General features: G+C 50.4%; 3 long non-coding RNA genes and 2 pseudogenes across 3 annotated transcripts, besides 2 other annotated features; 4 read left to right on the forward strand and 1 right to left on the reverse strand.

The window, feature by feature from the left end:
• On the forward strand, positions 257 to 1,101 carry MTND6P21 (MT-ND6 pseudogene 21; annotated as a pseudogene).
• HEPFAL (hepatocellular carcinoma ferroptosis associative lncRNA) lies at positions 874 to 5,856 on the forward strand. The gene is made up of 2 exons (XR_007067903.1): positions 874 to 3,211; positions 4,591 to 5,856. It is a non-coding gene; the product is annotated as a hepatocellular carcinoma ferroptosis associative lncRNA (long non-coding RNA).
• MTND5P1 (MT-ND5 pseudogene 1) lies at positions 1,100 to 2,435 on the reverse strand (annotated as a pseudogene).
• Positions 2,571 to 3,770: an enhancer, noted in NCBI's record as "BRD4-independent group 4 enhancer chr21:45895092-45896291 (GRCh37/hg19 assembly coordinates)". NCBI's record gives its function as "activates an origin of replication core promoter dependent on BRD2, P300/CBP, MED14 and CDK7 cofactors, and independent of BRD4, by STARR-seq in HCT116 cells {active_cell/tissue: HCT116}" and the evidence as "EXISTENCE:reporter gene assay evidence [ECO:0000049][PMID:35650434]".
• Positions 7,062 to 7,141: an enhancer, noted in NCBI's record as "active region_18574". NCBI's record gives its function as "activates an Ori minimal core promoter by ATAC-STARR-seq in GM12878 lymphoblastoid cells {active_cell/tissue: GM12878}" and the evidence as "EXISTENCE:reporter gene assay evidence [ECO:0000049][PMID:35858748]".
• Positions 10,363 to 12,061, forward strand: LOC124905037 (uncharacterized). Its single transcript, XR_007067904.1, has 2 exons — positions 10,363 to 10,797; positions 11,796 to 12,061. It is a non-coding gene; the product is annotated as an uncharacterized LOC124905037 (long non-coding RNA).
• Positions 12,062 to 12,932: 871 nt separating this feature from the next.
• Positions 12,933 to 18,504, forward strand: LINC02575 (long intergenic non-protein coding RNA 2575). Its single transcript, NR_155204.1, has 2 exons — positions 12,933 to 13,592; positions 17,756 to 18,504. It is a non-coding gene; the product is annotated as a long intergenic non-protein coding RNA 2575 (long non-coding RNA).
• The last annotated feature ends 115 nt before the right edge of the window (positions 18,505 to 18,619 follow it).

The raw sequence follows: 18,619 nt of genomic DNA on the forward strand, positions 1-18,619 counted from the left end.
TCCCGAGTAGCTGGGACCACAGGCATGCACCACCATGCCCAGCTAATCAAAAAAAAATTTTGTAGTGATGGGGTCTCACTGTGTTTCCCAGGCTGGTCGTCAACTCCTGGGCTCAAATGATCTACCCGCCTTGGCCTCCCAAAGTGTTGGGATTATTGTCATGAGCCACTGTGCCTGGCCCAGCCATAGACTTCTTACAGTTGAAATACAATGATGATTTTTTGCATCATTAGTCATGGTTAAATGCCATGTGAGAATTATGACATACAACATATTTTTATTAAGTACAATGTTTGTTGTAGGTTTTGTGGGTTTCTCTTCAAAACCTTTGCCAGTTTTGGGGGGTTTGGGTTAATTATTAGTGGAAGGGTGGGTTGTGGTATTGTATTAAAGGTCAGTGGTGCATTTATAGGATTAGGAGTATTTTTAATTTATTTGGGGGAATGATAGTGATGTTTGGATGTACCGCGGCAACAGCTACTGAGGGTTATCCTGAGGCTTGGGGTCTAATGTTGTTATTTGAGGGCTTTAATTGATGGGGCTGTTGCTAGAGTTAGTTATAATTGCATGAACAGCAGGGCATGATAAGGTAGAGATTGATTTTAAAAACTAGGAGAACAGGCCAAATGCGGTGGCTCATGCCTGTAATCCCAGCACTTTGGGAGGCTGAGGCGGGTGGATCACCTGAGCTTGGGAGTTCAAGAGCAGCCTGACCAACATGGAGAAACCCTGTCTCTACTAAAAATACAAAATTAGCCGGGCGTAGTGGCTCATGCCTGTAATCCCAGCTACTCAGGAGGCTGAGGCAGGAGAATCGCTTGAACCCGGGAGGTGGAGGTTATGGTGAGCCGAGATCACGCCATTGCACTCCAGCCTGGGCAATAAGAGCGAAACTCTGTCTCAAAAAACAAACAAACAAAAAAAATCAAAAACAAAAAACTAGGAAACTGATTTTTGAGGATGAAGAAGTAGGACTTCTTGGTGAAGACTGTAGGTATAGCTATACAGGTATACAGTTATGGTAGTTGGTTGATGGTGGTGGCTGGTTGATCTTTATTTGTTAGGATTTTTATTGTAACTGAAGTTACTCAAGGGTATTGATTAGGAGTGTGGCTAGGAAAGTGGGGTGAGGAAAGAGAGAAAGTAAAGTTTGATTAGGCCTTTTTGGTTGGATACAGTTGTTGAGGTTAGTGTTTGGAGCTGCGTTGCATTTGTTGGTATTGTTGTTCTATTCAGATCAGGTCTAGCTGGAGGGATGCTGTGTTTAGACCGGCAGTTAGATTCAAGTGTGGTGTCGGGCCAGGTGAATTGGAATTGGGAAATATTCTAATAGGTTGGAAATTTATGTGGGTGTAAGCGGGGTTCAAATCTGAGATGACGTATGATGAAGTTGCATTCTATTGCCACCGTAAATGCTGAGAAGCCACAGCAAGAGCTGTGAATTGTGGGTCTGAGGGTGTGGTTATGTGGGGCAGAGAGATGGGAGTCATGATGGTGGAGGTGAAGAATCCGGCAGAGGCACCACCAACTGAGTTGATTAGAAGGGGTCACTTTCCTTGATGACACAACCAGGTTGTGAAGCCAGGTTGCTCTAAGAGCGGGAAGACAGCATTCGAGTGTGAAGGCAGCTGTGAGGGAGGAGGCGAGGGGCAGAATCAGGAGGGCGCAGGTGTGGGTATATGTGTGTTTGTGGTTTTGACGATCAGGTCTTTGGAGCAGGTGCCCCCGAGGAAAGGTGCACACATGCGCGCAAGGCTGCCGGTGACGTGTGAGGACGAGGTCAAGGGTAAGGCTTTCAATAGGCCCTCATTTTTTTGAATGTCTTCCATGGCTGATGGTGGTCATGGGCCCAATTCGTGGGAGAATATCAGCGTTAGGGTTGAGAATGAATATGTGTTGAAATTCTCCCGTGTTGGAGCACAGTGGAAATCATGCTGCAATGAAACCGATTCTCCCATGAGGTCGTAGAAGCTGCTTGCAGGGCTGCTGCGTTAGCCTCTGCTCCATCAGCCAGGTGGTGGAAATGATATAATACCTACTCCTCCCCATCTGATACAAGTTGAACTGGATGGTTGGTGGTGACTAGGATTAGCAGCATGGTGAGAAATATGGGTAGATATTTAAAGAATTGATTGGTATTAGGATCTGAGTGCATATGTTACATTGAGAACTCTGTAAATCACCATGTGACAAAAAGTGCTATTGGTAATAATCGCGTTTAAAACTAAGTGAGAGCTTTCGGGTTTGGATAGTTATTCAGGGTCAGTGTGAGATAATAGTTGCTTGGCCCGAGTGAATAAACATGAGAGCTGGGGTAATTCTGGTAATGAAGTTTGCACACTGTGGACGTCTTTACTGAATTGGGTAGGCGTTATCTCGACAGGTGCTGGTTGAGTAATAACAGTTGGTGAAGTCAATAAGATTCATGAAGTTAGAATGAAAGAGGAGAATACATTTATTACTTTTATTTGGAGTTGCACCAATTTTTTGATTCCTAAGACCGATGGATTACTTCTATCCTTTAAAAGTTGAGAGAGAAAAAACAAAAAACAAACAAAAAAAACTAGTTAAGAGTTGGTCACAGCCGACACCAGGAAAAGGCAGTCTTCCAATAGACAGAAAGCACCGCACCTGAAGCTGGTGATCTGCAGCTTCCCAGTAAGACCTCAGGAGTTGGGCGAGTGGGTTCAAGCACATTAAGAAGCAAAGTGGTGAAGTTTAACTGGTATGTGACCTTCCGCTGGAATGCTCAGCTGGCAAGGGAAGAGCACCTCAAGTGAGCATGTGTACAATTTCAGGGCACACATTGTGCACGCAGCCCCTCCCACATGCTGGCAGGCCACGGCGCGCGTGACAGCCCACCCCAAGGGAAGAATCACAGGAGAAGAGACGCAGACCCCGGAACCATGCCAATGTATAAAAACCCAAGTCAAAAGTCAAACTGTGCACTTGAATCTTCCAAGTCGCCCACTTGACCCTCTTCCAAGTGTACTTTACTTCCTTTTGTTCCTACTCTAAAACTGTTTAATCAACTTTCACTTGTGCTCTAAAACTTGCCTCAGCCCCTCACTCTGCCTTATGCCCCTCAGACGAGTTATTTCCTTTGAGGAGGGAGGAATTGAGTTACTTCAGGCCCGGATGGATCCACCGCTGCTGACGTACTTTGGTGCTGACGTACTTTGGTGCCGTGACTCGGATACATTCCCTAGAGGTAAGAGATCTCTACGCTTTGCCTTCATGAATATTCCTCTTGCTTCCTCCCACTTCCTCCCATAGCCAAGGGATTGTCCCATCTGCTTAAGCATTTGTTCTTCATGTTACCCCGGGAGGACGAGGAACCCCAAATACAAATCTTCCTCCATTTCTCTAATCACTTCCATGCTCTTCTCAATATGCACCAAGACCTTCAAGGTCATATCTGAAGGGAGGGGAGTCCGACCCCCTGTGGCAATTAGCCAAAAAAAAAAAAAAAGGCTTCTGATATGGTTTAATCTCATCTTAAATTGTAATGCCCACATGTTAAGAACGAGACCTGGTGGGAGGTGATTGGATTGTGAAGCAGTCTCCCCAGGCTGTTCTTGTGATGGTGAGTGAGTTCTCATGAGATCTGATGGTTTAAAAGTGATTGGCAGTTCCTCCCTTGCTCTCTCTCTCCTGCCACCCTGCAAGCTGTGCCTTGCTTCCCCTTCACGTTCTGCCATGATTGTAAGTTTCCTGAGGCCTCCCCAGTCATGAAGAACTGTGAGTCAATTAAACCTCCTTTTTAAATAAATGACCCAGTCTCAGGCATTCTTTATAGCAGTGTGAAAATAGACTAATACAGCTCCTCATCTCCTTCAAGAACATGGGAACTGGGAATCCGAGAAGAGATACCACCTTGTTGCTAGCATGCTCCAAGTGAGAGTCACTATCAGGTCATGGAGATGAGGATATAGGATGGCCCAAGGCCGCAGGTGCAAGAGACCCATAGGACAGAGATGAAGGTTTTTCCCAGGCTATCAGATTACCATTAGAACAGAGATGAAGGCAAGGTGAGGGGTACACAGACCAGTTCATTCCACAACCCCAAGGATGAACACGGGGCCCCCTGTTCATTCTGGCATCTTCCTTGTTCTCATGCGGGTAATTGTGACAAAATGGGACCAAGGTTAAGGGTACGTCGTAAAATGGGTTCATTCTGGAACCCTAAGGATGAATGGGGGTGCCCTGTTCAGGAAAGGATAATAAGGAAATAACAGGGGACTCCTTCTTTTTCCTTTTTTTTCCTCCTCTGTTCTCTCTGGATAATCACATCTCTATACCACAGGACACACCCCTTAAATGCATCCCCAAGAACTGGGAAAAATTTGATCCTCCAAAGCTTAAAACAAAAAACTCACTTTCCTTTGTAATAAAAAGGAACTGGGAGAAAATTACAAGAGTCAACCTTAGAACCCAGTGTCCCTATGCAGAAAAATCCTCAAATTAGCCTCCTCAGTTGTTTATAACTGAGAGCAGAATAAGGAGGACAGGGCTAAGGAGAAGGAGAAACGCAGGGACAAGAGGCAGGCTCAACTATTGGCTGTTTTACAAGCCCTCCCGCCCCTCCAGGTTGCCCTCAGAACACCCTCCCAGGTAACTGCCATCGCTGCGGGAAGCCAGGCCACTGGAAGGCAGACTGCATCAGTCGGACAAATGGGAGGAAGCTCCACACAGCTGGCCCCCTCCGCCACACTCAGCCAGTGGAACAGGACTGCCCTGAGGGCTGAAGGGCCCTGGGACAGATTCTCAACCCCTGATGACTTTCAGCTGAAGGAACTGTCTGCACAGCTGGCCTCCAAGTCAGACATCGTATAAATTAACAAATTTCCTTGTCAATTGTGTCTAACTGCGGCTGCCCCAAGACTTATCATACACAGACAATTGTTGCTTCATTTTAATCCCCTTTAAAAGATGGTTTTATAATCAATATAGGACTCTAATAACAGGTGCTCTTAAGTCACCTGCCCCAGAGGGGAGGCTTGAGTGACACCTGGAGCTCCTGCACCATGGGGGAGACATGAGTGACACCTGAGCACCTGTATCTTGTAGGAGGTCTGGGTGTGACGTGAGCCCCTGCAGCAGAGGGGAGGCTTCAGGAACACCTGGAGCACCGGCATCTCACAGGAAGGAGGCTTGGGTGTGACCTGAGCACCTGCACCACGGGAGAGGCTTGGGTAGTGTGTGGACACCTAGACCACAGGGAGGCCTGGGAACTGCCTGAGCACCTGCACCACGGGAGAGGCTTGGGTGACACTTGGGCACCTGCACCCAACACAGGTAGCAGTGATCACAGTGAAAACATTTTGTTAGCAGTCGTCTGCTTCCTGTCCTGGCATGAGCAGCAACGGGTAAAGGGCACTCTTGTCAGCTGAGGGGATGAGTGGGGCTCTGCCCAGCTGGTTGGAGACTCCAGCAGGTTTGCAGGAGGAGACGGAAGAGCAAGGAGTGGAGGCAAAAACTGCTGCCAAGATCCTGTGGGAAAACAGGAACCCAAAGAAGGAACTCCAATGGGAAACTAATTTAGACAACAATGATCTTAAAGTTTTTGCTCCTTCGAGACTGTTGAAAAGAACTCCCACGAGTGAACAAAAGACGCCTGGCCGAGGACACTCCAGAGTGCTGTCACGAGGGTTCCCTGCAGTTTTCAGAAACTTGGAGCATGTGGCCACAGCGGCTTGCACGTGATTCATACGGCACATCTTGTCACCATGTAAATGTTTATCAGCAGAGACAAAGACCAGAAGAGCAACCTTGGAAAGAGCTAAATATTCCGATGTTCCAGCATTTTCCCCTCTGGTTTGTATTGTGAATTTTTAAAATCTCGATTGACAAGTTCTGGTGTTTTTAGTTTTGTTTCCACCCAGCAGTGCTGGTGCCCTTTGATTGTAAACAGAGCAGAGTGCACCGGGTGGGAGTGCATGTGGCTCCCTGCGTGTGCCTGGGTGCTGGCAGCACCTTGTCTGCCTCCTTCCTCCCTGGCGCCAGCTCCTGACGCAATCAGAGGCCCAGTGACACCCACAGCACAGGGAGGAAGTGCGTGGATGTCCAGGTCCCTCCACGGAGCACAGCTGTGTAGCTTCAGGTGCTCAGGGAGGATGCCCCATTCACTCCTCCCTCATGGGTAAACTGAGGCACAGGGATGGGGAACTGGCCAGTGGGACTAAACACAAGATGTCCTGACTCCTGTGTGGGACTGTTGCCTCTTTGGGCCTTGCATTCATCAGGGCTCAGCAAGGAAACAGAGCCACTAGGATGTGTGGAGAGGAGCAGAGACTTTGCACGAGGCATTGGCTCCTGTGCGGTGTGGGCGGGCAGGCTCAGGACCCAGAAGAGCCCATGGTGCAGGCCAAGCCCAAAGGCAGGCTGCAGGAGAAGGCCTTCTGGCCCAGGGGGGCCAGCCTTCTTACTCTATTTTGGCCTTCAACTGATTGGAGGAGTGTAGGGACCAGCCCCACAGGGTTGGTGGGTCTCTCCCTGTGTGCAGCGACGAGAGAGTGTAGAAATAAAGACACAAGACAAAGAGATAAGAGAAAAGGCAGCTGGGCCCGGGGGACCACTACCACCAATGCACAGAGACCAGTAGTGGCCCCGAATGCCAGGCTGCGCTGTTATTTATTGGATACAAGGCAGAAGGGGCAGGGTAAAGAATGTGAGTCACCTCCAATGATAGGTAAGGTCATGTGGGTCACGTGTCCACTGGATGGGGGGCCCTTCCCTGCCTGGCAGCCGAGGCAGAGAAGGAGAGGAGACAGAGAGAAAGACAGCTTACGCCATTATTTCTGCATATCAGGGACTATTAGTACTTTCACTAATTGACTACTGCTATCTAGAAGGCAGAGCCAGGTGTACAGGATGGAACATGAAGGCAGACTAGGAGCATGACCACTGAAGCACAGCATCACAGGGAGACGGTTAGGCCTCCGGATAACTGTGGGCGAGTCTGACTCATGTCAGGCCCTCCACAAGAGGTGGAGGAGCAGAGTCTTCTCTAAACTCCCCCGGGGAAAGGGAGACCACCCCGCCCCCCTGCCGCTTTCCCGGTCTGCTAAGTAGCGGGTGTTGTTCCTTGACACCTTTTGCTACCGCTGGACCACGGTCCACCTGGTAACAGGCATCTTCCCAGACGCTGGCGTCACCGCTAGACCAAGGAGCCCTCTGGTGGCCCTGTCCGGGCATAACAGAAGGCTCACACTCCTGTCTTCCGGTCACACTTCACTGTGTCCCCTCAGCTCCTATCTCTGTATGGCCTGGTTTTTCCTAGGCTATGATTATAGAGCGAGGATTATTATAATATTGGAATAAAAAGTAATTGCTACAAACTAATGATTAATGATATTCATGTATAATCATATCTAAGATCTATATCTGGTACAACTATTCTTGTTTTATATTTTATTATACTGGAACAGCTCGTGTCCTCTGTCTCTTGCCTTGGCGCCTGGGTGGCTTGCCGCCCACAGATGAGGCCCACCCACCTGCTTTACCCGAAGTTCACAGATTTAAAAATTAATCTCATCCAAAAACACACGCCAAATTGACCCATGAAGTTAACCATCACAGCTATCAGGTGGGGCTCTCAGAGGTCCCCACAGCGCGCCTGACCTGGGTGGTTTCTCCCCTTCTCCCCGTCTGGCCACCTTGCCTCTGAGGGTACTTCCGGGGGCTCTGCCAGCAGGTGTACCCCAGGATGACCAGCCTGCCCTGCCTGAAGCTGCCTCCCCACAGGCCCGGCCAGGTCCCTGATGGTCTCTGCACTTCCTCCAGTCACCCCTATCCTTCCTGGCCCCGCAGGCCCCACCTGCAACCCCAGTGAAATCTGAGCACCCCAGCCCTGAGAGGTGTGGCTGCTCCTCCATGGGTGGGGTTGGCAGATGGAGCTGATAAAAATGCAGGCTGGCCAGTTACATCTGGATTTCAGATCGATAGCTGTCTTTCAGTGTAAGTACGTCCCGTGTAACATTTGGGATATACTTACACTAAAAAATGTATTCATTGTTTATCTGAAATTCAGATTTCACCAGGCACCCTGCATGTTTATGTGGCATCCTCGGCCCCACCTCTCCTGAGGCCAGCAACTCCAGGCCAGACACACTGGAGCCCCTGGCTGCCCAGGGCCGGCCAAGGAGAGGCAAGGGCAGGGCCAGGCCTCAGGGATGGCGACAGCAGGGATGTGTGGGGGTGGGGGTCTCTGCTGCAGGCTGGGCTGGGCTTGGCACATCCCCATGCTCCACGCGCATGCAGGGGCGATGGGGGCGGCCTCTGAGGTCATGGAATTCCCTGGGCTCTCCTGGCCTCTGGGGCTCCTCATGCTCACAGGTTCTCTGGCCTGGCCCCTTGGCCCTGCTTTTCTGGCTCCCTGAGGAGGCTGTGACAGGTCAGCACCCACCAGCCCTCTCAGGGCTCCTGGTTACCTACTGGCCTGAAGGAGGCTCTGGAAAAATCAAAGCTTTTAGAAACTAGGAGGGTCTGGTTAGTCTTAAAATCCCAGATGTGGACCTGCACCGAGAAGGAACAGGCTGGGAGTGGTCACTGCATTAGTCCATTTTCACACTGCTGTGAAGAACTGCTTGAGACTGGGTAATTTAGAAAGGAAAGAGCTTTAATTGACTCACAGCTCAGCATGGTTGGAAAGGCCCCAGGGACACTCACAATCCCGGTGGAAGGGGAAGCAAGGCACCTTCTTCAGAAGGCGGCAGGAAAGAGAAGCAACGCAGGAGGAGCTACTGAGCATGTATGAAACCACCAGGTCTCCTGAGAGCTCACTGTCACAAGAACAGCATGGGGGGACCACCCCATCATCCAGTCACCTCCACCTGGTCTCTCCCGTGCATGGGAACAGCATGGGGGGACCACCCCATCATCCAGTCACCTCCACCTGGTCTCTCCCGTGCATGGGAACAGCATGGGGGGACCACCCCATCATCCAGTCTCCTCCACCTGGTCTCTCCCGTGCATGGGAACAGCATGGGGGGACCACCCCATCATCCAGTCACCTCCACCTGGTCTCTCCCGTGCATGGGAACAGCATGGGGGGACCACCCCATCATCCAGTCACCTCCACCTGGTCACTCTCGTGCATGAGAACAGCATGGGGGGACCACCCCATCATCCAGTCACCTCCACCTGGTCTCTCCCGTGCATGAGAACAGCATGGGGGGACCACCCCATCATCCAGTCACCTCCACCTGGTCTCTCCCGTGCATGAGAACAGCATGGGGGGACCACCCCATCATCCAGTCACCTCCACCTGGTCTCTCCCGTGCATGGGAACAGCATGGGGGGACCACCCCATCATCCAGTCACCTCCACCTGGTCTCTCCCGTGCATGGGAACAGCATGGGGGGACCACCCCACCATCCAGTCACCTCCACCTGGTCTCTCCCGTGCATGAAAACAGCATGGGGGGACCACCCCATCATCCATTCACCTCCACCTGGTCTCTCCTGTGACACATGAGGATTATGGGGATTATGGGGCTTACAATTCAAGATGAGACACAGCTGCTTCTTCCTTTGTTCTTCCTTTCCACACTTCTGGGGTTAATAAGCGCTGTGCTTTGTTATATAGCTGATAAAACAGTCAAAGGCCTAAGCTATTGTCAAAAACAGTATAATGCCACTAGCTTTTGAGTGTGTATGTCAAAATCTGTTTTTCTGTATCTAACTTTTCTTACTTCCTTTTGCAAAGGGAACCTGCTTAGCCTGATAGTGATAGTGATAGTGTCATACTTACGGGAAGCCAGCTCCCTCGACTTTTTCGTTTTTATCCCTCTATTTTTCTCGGGCTGGAGGGCATTGACACATTCATTTATTTATTTCTCAGAAAAGGCAACAGAGGTTCAGGGAGGCTAATGACTTGCCCAAGTTCACATTGCTAACCTACAACAGGGCTGAAGGGGATCATGTCTACGGTGGTCCATTTCCAAGACAAAGTGCCTTGAATCGGCTTAGGTCTGCAAAATACAGAAGAAACAGGATATCCCAGGCCCCTGCTCAGACAGCCGATGCCTGCTTATCGGGATCCCCCTTAGTTGCCCTCACCTGAACCAAAGAAGTTTAGTCTAAGATAAAAGTTTACCAGTCTGCAAAATAGCTGGCTTTGTCTGTTCTTATCAGCCTGCCAGCTACGTAGGTCATAAGTCAAATATTTAAAGAGCCCCAGGGCTAACTAGGATTGCAATGCACTGTGGGCTGCAACAAAATGCAGCAAGACAACCCTAAAAAGACACCTACAGCCCCTGCCCAACAACCAATAGGTGACATCTGGGAAGACTGTGACCCCATAGTGCTCAGCCTATGAGGAACTGGGGGAGGGACCTGCACACTAAGGGATAAAGTGCTTGTTAAAACCATGCTGGAGGCTGGTGCAGTGGCTCACGCCTGTAATCCCAGCACTTTAGGAGGCCGACGTGAGGCAGGCGGATCACTTGGGGTCAGGAGTTTGACACCAGCCTGGCCAACCTGGTAAAACCCCATCTCTATTGAAAACACGAAAATTAGCCAGGCGTGGTGGTGAGTGCCTGTGATCCCAGCTACTCAGGAGGCTGAGGCAGGAGGATCACTTGGACTCGGGAGGCAGAGTTACAGTGAGCCGAGATCCTGCCACCGCACTCCAGCCTGGGCGACAGAGAAAGACCCCATCTCAAAACAACAGCAACAACAACAAAACCGGGCTGGGCGTGCCTTCCCATCGGACACCCGACCTCGCAAGACTGTCATTAAAAGTCTCACTCTCGCTGTTCTCTGGGTTGTGAGTCCATTCTCTGGGTGTGGACAGGTGAGTTTGTTTCTCACAAGGTCCAGGACTTGAACTCAGGCCATGAGACCGGGCCAGGGTTGTGAGCAAAAGTGCAGCTCGTTGCGGTGCCTCCCTCGGCACCAGTGGGAGGGGAGAGGACCCTGGGGCTCGTCAGCCTGGACACGCCAGCGCTCTCAGCCGTCTCACTCAGTCCCACGAGCCCACACAGTGGCTGCCCTCAAAGGGACTTTGGAGACCACCCAGTCTTTCTTCCCAGTTTACAGACCCAGAGACTCGGGCCCAGAGAAGACAAGTGACTTTGAACAAAGCAAATTAGTGGCAATGCCCAGACTTGAACCGAGATTGGCAGAGCTTGGTGGTCTGCCACAAACCACCCTCCCCCACAGCAGGTGCGGGTGGGGGGCTCCGTTCTTCCGGTCACCACAGCATGTTACAGGTTTCTGCATCAGTGCGCCTCCTCTTAGGAAGAAACATCTCTGGGCTGGGATGGCTAGCTCCCCGCTTTCAGCCATGTAGAATTTCTCTTGGCATTTTAGTTAGAAGTGTTGTCTAGATTTCTTAAGTGTCTGAGGCTGCCCTGGCCACAGGGATGAGTTAGGGAAAATTACCGTTTCCCATGTGCGTGTGTGAAGCTCTCCATGCTCACTGAAGTCAGAGTGAGAAGCAGCAAACACGTCATCGGGAGGGTGGCCAGCAAGGCTGTGTCCTTTCACACGTCCTCAGATCATCCTTGAATCCACCCACATTCCAAATTCATTCTCAAAAATGAGATTCCAAATTTCAGGATCTATTTACAGCCAGACGATTTTGGTGCCCCCTGCTCAAAAGCTTTGATTACTCCTGTGCTTAATTAAGTCACAAATCCCTGGCCCATCATCCAAGACCACTTGTGATGTGGTTAAACCTACCTCTGTGAGTGCTAGTAAATCTACCTCTACTAGTACTAGTAAATCTACCTCTGCTAGCGCTAGTAAATTTACCTCTACCAGTACTGCCCCCCACTGTTTCCTTTTCAGGCATTCAGCTCAGTCTACGGCCCGCAGACAGATTTCCTAGAAATAACTGCTCCTACTTCTCAACTCTTAACAAAAAGGTCTCTGAAAAGGAATTTGGAGGAAACAGACTATTCCAGTGAATAGTGTACAAGCCTGGGAGATGCGGACTTTGGTGTAAAATGAAGGTGTGTTCAAAGAGCAAAGAAGGAGTTCGGGTTTTAGAGCAAAAAGCTCCTGCCCTGGGGTCCCCATTAGGTCCATGTAGGCAAATGAAGGATTGAAACGTGCTTAGTTCTGATTGGTTGGTACAGCTGGGCCCTGATGGGTTGGTTTCCAAGCCGCGAACCGGAAGTCTTTGTTAGCTGTTTCTTTCAAACAGTGGTGGGGGGCGTGAGGGGCGTGCGGGGCGTCGGGGGCGTGAGGGGCGTGCGGGGCGTGAGGGGCGTGAGGGGCGTGCGGGCGTGAGGGGCGTGAGGGGCGTGAGGGGCGTGAGGGGCGTGCGGGGCGTGAGGGGCGTGCGGGCGTGAGGGGCGTGCGGGGCGTGCGGGGCGTGCGGGGCGTGGGGGGCGTGCGGGCGGGGAGGAGGGTGGGGGCCGCTCTGGCTACAGTTTATCTTGGCACTAACAACGGGGACTGATTGGGCTTCGTTGTGAAAAGGGGGGCCCTGTGGTGCGTTTACAGAGTCTGAGAACACAGAGTTCGTGGCCACTCCCTCACCCAGCCCTGGGCACCAGGTTATGTTTTAAATTTGAGCACCTCAGCCATGGGGAACCCCTTTTGTTTGTCAGCCAGGGCATAGTTTACCAATCCCAAATCTGTAATCTCTCTCTTAACAAATCACTTTCTACCCAAATACAGATCCTTAAGGGCAGGGCCTCTGGTTCATTTTTGTCATCTCCACCTAGCGGAGAGCGCGGCACACGGCAATGATACGGGAGTGCGGGGGAAGGGAAGAGTGTGGTCCCTTTAAATGATACAGAAGGGAGGTGCTGGGTAGAGGGGGGCGTGGTCCCCGGCTAGGGCTCCACCCCCCCGGACCTGGGTGAGGACAGGCACTTCTGCCTTCTTGCCCCAATGTTGCATTTTCCAAGACCACCCTGGCCCGCCATGCCCCCATTCTGAGCCTATAAAAACCCGAGACCCTAGCAGGGCAGAGGCAGAAACTGCTGGATGCTGAGAGGAACGCATCAGTGGAAGAAAACAAGCGGCTGGACGTGGAGAGGACGTCAAGGGAGCATGCCGGCGGAAGAGCACACCACAGACGCCGGCAGGCCACCGAGCGGCAGGACCAGGCGGAGTTTGGCCGGGGCAGTCGGAGGAGAGCTAGGCCACTAAGCAGCTCAACTCCAGGAGATAAACCATCTCCCTTGTGGCTCCTCCGTCGGCTGAGAGCTGCTTCCACTCAATAACACTTTGCACTCGTTCTCCAAGCCCCCGTGTGATCCGATTCTTCTGGTACACCCAGGCAAGAACCCAGGATACAGAAAGGCCTCGGTCCTTTCCACAAGTACCTCTACTTGAGGTACTCATTGACCTGGTTAACACAAGCTGCCTACAGACGCCAAAACTAAGGGCACCCTGGAACACAGGCTTCAGCTGTAAACATTCACCCCTGGGCACTGCCGTGGGGTGGGAGCCTGCCTGAGTGTATGCTCCCCTAGAGGTTTGAGCTGCGGGGCACTGAAGAAGTGAGCCACACTCCCATCGCACACTGCGAGGGGGACAAAGGAACTTTTCCTCTTTTAACTGGGGCCTCATCTGGAATCTCGGAAGGTGAATGTCTGCCTTCGAAAACCCTACCACCTGTCTTTCTTGTGGGTAAGAGGCTGTTTTCCTTTCATCTCTTTTTTCTCTCTCACACGGTTTAAAAATGGCTCTTATCTCCTTTATAATGTTAAGAGTTTTGCTACAGGCTGCGGCAATGTTACTAAGTAGAATGAGTATTTGGCTCAGCCGCCAAAGGTGCAAATCAGACCAATTTTTCCTAGAGGTGCCATGTATGCCTCTACCTCGAGAGCCGCAGGCACACACGGCTCTGGGCACCTCTCCTTATTCTTCCCCTTCCCAGCTCGGGCACCTGGGCGTGCCCACGGCAGGCAAAGGCCAAGCCCAACAGCCACGAACCGGGCGGGAGGAAGCCGAGGGGGTAGCCGGGACCCTACAGGGAGCGCGTTGGTCAAGTGTGCCAAGGGAACCTTTCCTCCCCTGGCCAAGGAATTCAACCTGGTCTGAACTGGGGAAAGGATGGGAAAGTTATAAGAATTAGAGGGACGCAGTTGCACTAAGCAAGGGGTTCTTCCCCCAGAATCTCCCCCCTTTTTGCCCCTTAAACTGTTTTTCTCCTTTTTCCTTTTTTTTATTATTATTATACTTTAAGTTTTAGGGTACATGTGCACAATGTGCAGGTTAGTTACATATGTATACATGTGCCATGCTGGTGCACTGCACCCACTAACTCATCATCTAGCATTAGGTATATCTCCCAATGCTATCCCCCCCTCCCCCCACCCCACAACAGTCCCCAGAGTGTGATGTTCCCCTTCCTGTGTCCATGTGTTCTCATTGTTCAGTTCCCACCTGAGTGAGAATATGTGGTGTTTGGTTTTTTGTTCTTGCGATAGTTTACTGAGAATGATGATTTCCAATTTCATCCATGTCCCTACAAAGGACATGAACTCATCATTTTTTATGGCTGCATAGTATTCCATGGTGTATATGTGCCACATTTTCTTAATCCAGTCTATCATTGTTGGACATTTGGGTTGGTTCCAAGTCTTTGCTATTGTGAATAGTGCCACAATAAACATACGTGTGCATGTGTCTTTATAGCAGCATGATTTATAGTCCTTTGGGTATATACCCAGTAATGGGATGGCTGGGTCAAATGGTATTTCCAGTTCTAGATCCCTGAGGAATCGCCACACTGACTTCCACAATGGTTGAACTAGTTTACAGTCCCACCAACAGTGTAAAAGTGTTCCTATTTCTCCACATCCTCTCCAGCACCTGTTGTTTCCTGACTTTTTAATGATTGCCATTCTAACTGGTGTGAGATGGTATCTCATTGCGGTTTTGATTTGCATTTCTCTGATGGTCGGTGATGGTGAGCATTTTTTCATGTGTTTTTTTGGCTGCATAAATATCTTCTTTTGAGAAGTGTCTGTTCATGTCCTTTGCCCACTCTTTGATGGGGTTGTTTTTTTCTTGTACATTTGTTTGAGTTCATTGTAGATTCTGGATATTAGCTCTTTGTCAGATGAGTAGGTTGTGAAAATTTTCTCCCATTTTGTAGGTTGCCTGTTCCCTCTGATGGTAGTTTCTTTTGCTGTGCAGAAGCTCTTTAGCTTAATTAGATCCCATTTGTCAATTTTGGCTTTTGTTGCCATTGCTTTTGGTGTTTTAGACATGAAGTCCTTGCCCATGCCTATGTCCTGAATGGTAGGGCCTAGGTTTTCTTCTAGGGTTTTTATGGTTTTAGGTCTAACGTTTAAGTCTTTAATCCATCTTGAATTGATTTTTGTATCTTTTTTCCTTTTCTAAGTGAGAGGGCTCCCCTCCCAACTCTGTTTCTGATGGGGAAGTTAGCAGAGGACCAGCGACCCCTGCTGGCGGAGAGCTGCAAATTTGGCAGGGCACATTTGAGACACTCTCAACAGATAGAACCAGCCTCTAAAATATCTTTTCAGTCCCAAACTCGATTCCAAGCTTCAGGCTGAGGTCTTAGAAAGAAAAAACAGGTCTGAGGGATCCAAAGCCAGGGAACAGGCACAATGTAAATGGGTAGCACCAATTCCTGCTGACTAAACCCCCCACCCTATGGAAGGAGGCCATGCTTCATGGCATAAACAGGCCCAGGGAACTGAAGGTTTGCCGACAGCAGGGAGAAAGGGAGGCATAGGCAAGGGCGGTTCGTTCCTAGTCTCCAGGTTTTCCCTGCTTCATGGGTACATACCACATTAGTACCCATGGCTGGCACCTGCCAAGGTCGCCAGGGCTCAGGGATAAGGAGTGGAGACTGAAAGGATCATGCTCGCTTTCTCTCTCCATCACACCCTGAGTTTTCGCTGAAAGAAGGAAGAGAATGAGGGGCTTCTCTATTCACTGTCTCCAGTTCTCTTCAACACCCCCAGTTTATACTCCTCTGTAGTGTACCCTGAACCATCGGGACTGCTTTGACCCTCAGAATCTGCAGGAGAAACACCTCAGAGCCCTCTGCACAAAGGTTTGGCCAAATTATGAAGGACTGGGTTGGCCCTAGGAAGGAATCATTCATTTCCATACCATTCGGCTGTTGAGACTTTTCTGTAGATGTGAGGACAGATGGCCTGAGGCCCCGTATGTGCAGGGCCTTTCTATACCTTGCAAGGAAATCCAGACCTTGCCGACAGTGTAGGATTCATCCAGCCCTCCTGTTTGCCATCTCAGAGAAGGCTGCAAGGGGTAAGCCCAGGGAATTAAAGATACGAGTCCTAGAGGCACCCCGGAAAGAGAGGCCAGCTCCCTCAAGCCCTGCTCCTCTGGGTCCACCCCGACCTCCCTATCCAGCTTCAGCCTCTCACTTGGCCCCTCCTACAAATTCTCACTCTAAACAAGCCCCAGTCTCACTCTTGCTCCTCCAACAGATGCCTGGTGAATTTGGGCCAGCAAGGTCCAGGTCCCCTTCTCCTTACAGGACTTAAAGTAAATTAAGGGGGGATCTGGGCAAGTTTTCAGATGATCCTCATAGGTATATAGAGGCTTTCTAGAATTTCAACCAAATAGTTGAACTCTCCTGGAGAGAGACGTTATGTTACTTTTGAATCAGACTGTGATAGACACTGAGAAACAGGCCACTCTACAAGCTGCAGAGAGATTTGGGGATGAGCTTTGCATCACATGTAGCATCAGGAAAGGGGGTGAATATTATCCAACCGGAAGAGAAGCAGTACCAGTGAATGACCGTAAATGGGACCCCAATCATGAGATGGAAGCCGGGCGGAGGAGACACTTTCAGGTGTGCGTAATAGAAGGCTTACGTAAGACTAAGAACAAGTTGTCCATGATCAACCAGGAATTTGATGAAAATCCAATCGCCTTCTAGGAAAGGCTAAGAGAGGCCTTGGTAAAGCTCACCTCTCTCTCTCCTGGTTCAGTTGAGGGACAGTGAATCCCAAAGCATAACTTTATTACTCAGGCGGCTCCTGACATCAGGAGGAAGTTGCAAAAACTGGGCCATTGGACCAGATAGTACATTAGAGGACCTCCTAAAAGTGGCCACCTCAGTCTTTTATAATAGAGACGGAGGCCCAGGACAGTGAGAGGAGACACAGGAAAGAGACAAAAGCTTCAGTGGCCACCGTGTACGTCCACAAACCCCAGAATTCCCAGGGTGCACCTGTTAACTGCTAAAGATATGGCAAGAATAGTTACTTCATTCTAAAGTTTATTTGCTCTTGTACAAGGTTTAATTTCTTGCACCAGGGGTGAAACAGCTCAGGGTGCAACTTTGCTGTTAGTATATTTCACTTCTTATCTTTGTGATCTTTGGGAGTACATTCTTTCTTTTTATAACACACATGTTTAACCCATGCATACTTAACCTTATAAAACCTGGGTTTTTTTTTTTCTCTCATGCCTAGAACCATCAAACTCCAAGTGGACAGGCAACTGGAGCCTCAGATAATGACTCCCCTTTGCTAGGAACCCTTAGACAGACCTCTGGGAGGAATTTGACTGCCGTTTTCTCAAAAACAACGCCCCCTGTCAGCGGGAAGCAGCTAAGACAGGTCATCGTCCATATTCTAATAGCAGTTAGATGTACGTTTTCAGAGAGGGGAAATGATACAGGAGTGCGGGGAAGGGAAGAGTGTCATCTCTTTAAATGATACAGAAGGGAGGTGCTGGGTAGAAGAGGGTGTGGTCCCTGGCTAGGGCTCCACCCCCACGGACCTAGGTGAGGGCAGGCACTTTCTCCTTCTCACCCAAATGTTGCATTTTCCAAGATCACCCTGGCCTGCCATGCCCCCATCCTGGGCCTATAAAAACCCTGAGACCCTAGCAAGGCAGAGATAGAAGCTGCCGGATGCTGAGAGAAACACATCAGTGGAAGGGAAGAAGAAAAGCGGCTGGACATGGAGAGGACGTCAGTGGAGCATGCCGGCGGAAGAGCACACCCACAGACCCTGGCACGCCGGCAGGCCACGTAGCGGCAGGCCACGTAGCGGCAGGCCACGTAGCGGCAGGCCACGTAGCGGCAGGCCAAGGCGGAGTTTGGCCGGGGCAGTCGGAGGAGAGCTAGGCCACTAAGCAGCTCAACTCCAGGAGAAAACCATCTCCCTTCTGGCTCCTCCATCAGCTGAGAGCTGCTTCCACTCAATAACACTTCGCACTGATTCTCCAAGCCCAGGTGTGATCCGATTCTTCTGGTACACCCAGGCAAGAACCCAGGATACAGACAGCCCTCTGTCCTTTTGATAACTAGAGGGTCTCATTGACCTGGTTAACACAAGCTGCCTACAGACGGCAAAACTAAAAGAGCACCCTGGAACACACGCCCACTGGGGCTTCAGCTGTAAACATTCACCCCTAGACACGGCTATGGGGTTGGAGCCTGCCTGTCTGTATGCTCCCCTAGAGGTTTGGGCAGCAGGGCACTGAAGAATCAAGCCACACCCCCATCGCACACCCTGCGAGGGGGACAAGGGAACCTTTCTCTTTTCAGTTGGTCTTAATAAACACTGAGTAAATGAATGATTACGCACTCAGAAAAATCAGTTATCCTCTCCCACTCCGTGCCTGGGAAGTACCAACGGGTACTGAAACGTAATGAGTAATGTCTAGAGATTTTCTCCACAGGATAGAAACAA

Source organism: Homo sapiens, chromosome 21, assembly GCF_000001405.40.
Source record: "Homo sapiens chromosome 21, GRCh38.p14 Primary Assembly".
NCBI lineage: Eukaryota > Metazoa > Chordata > Mammalia > Primates > Hominidae > Homo > Homo sapiens.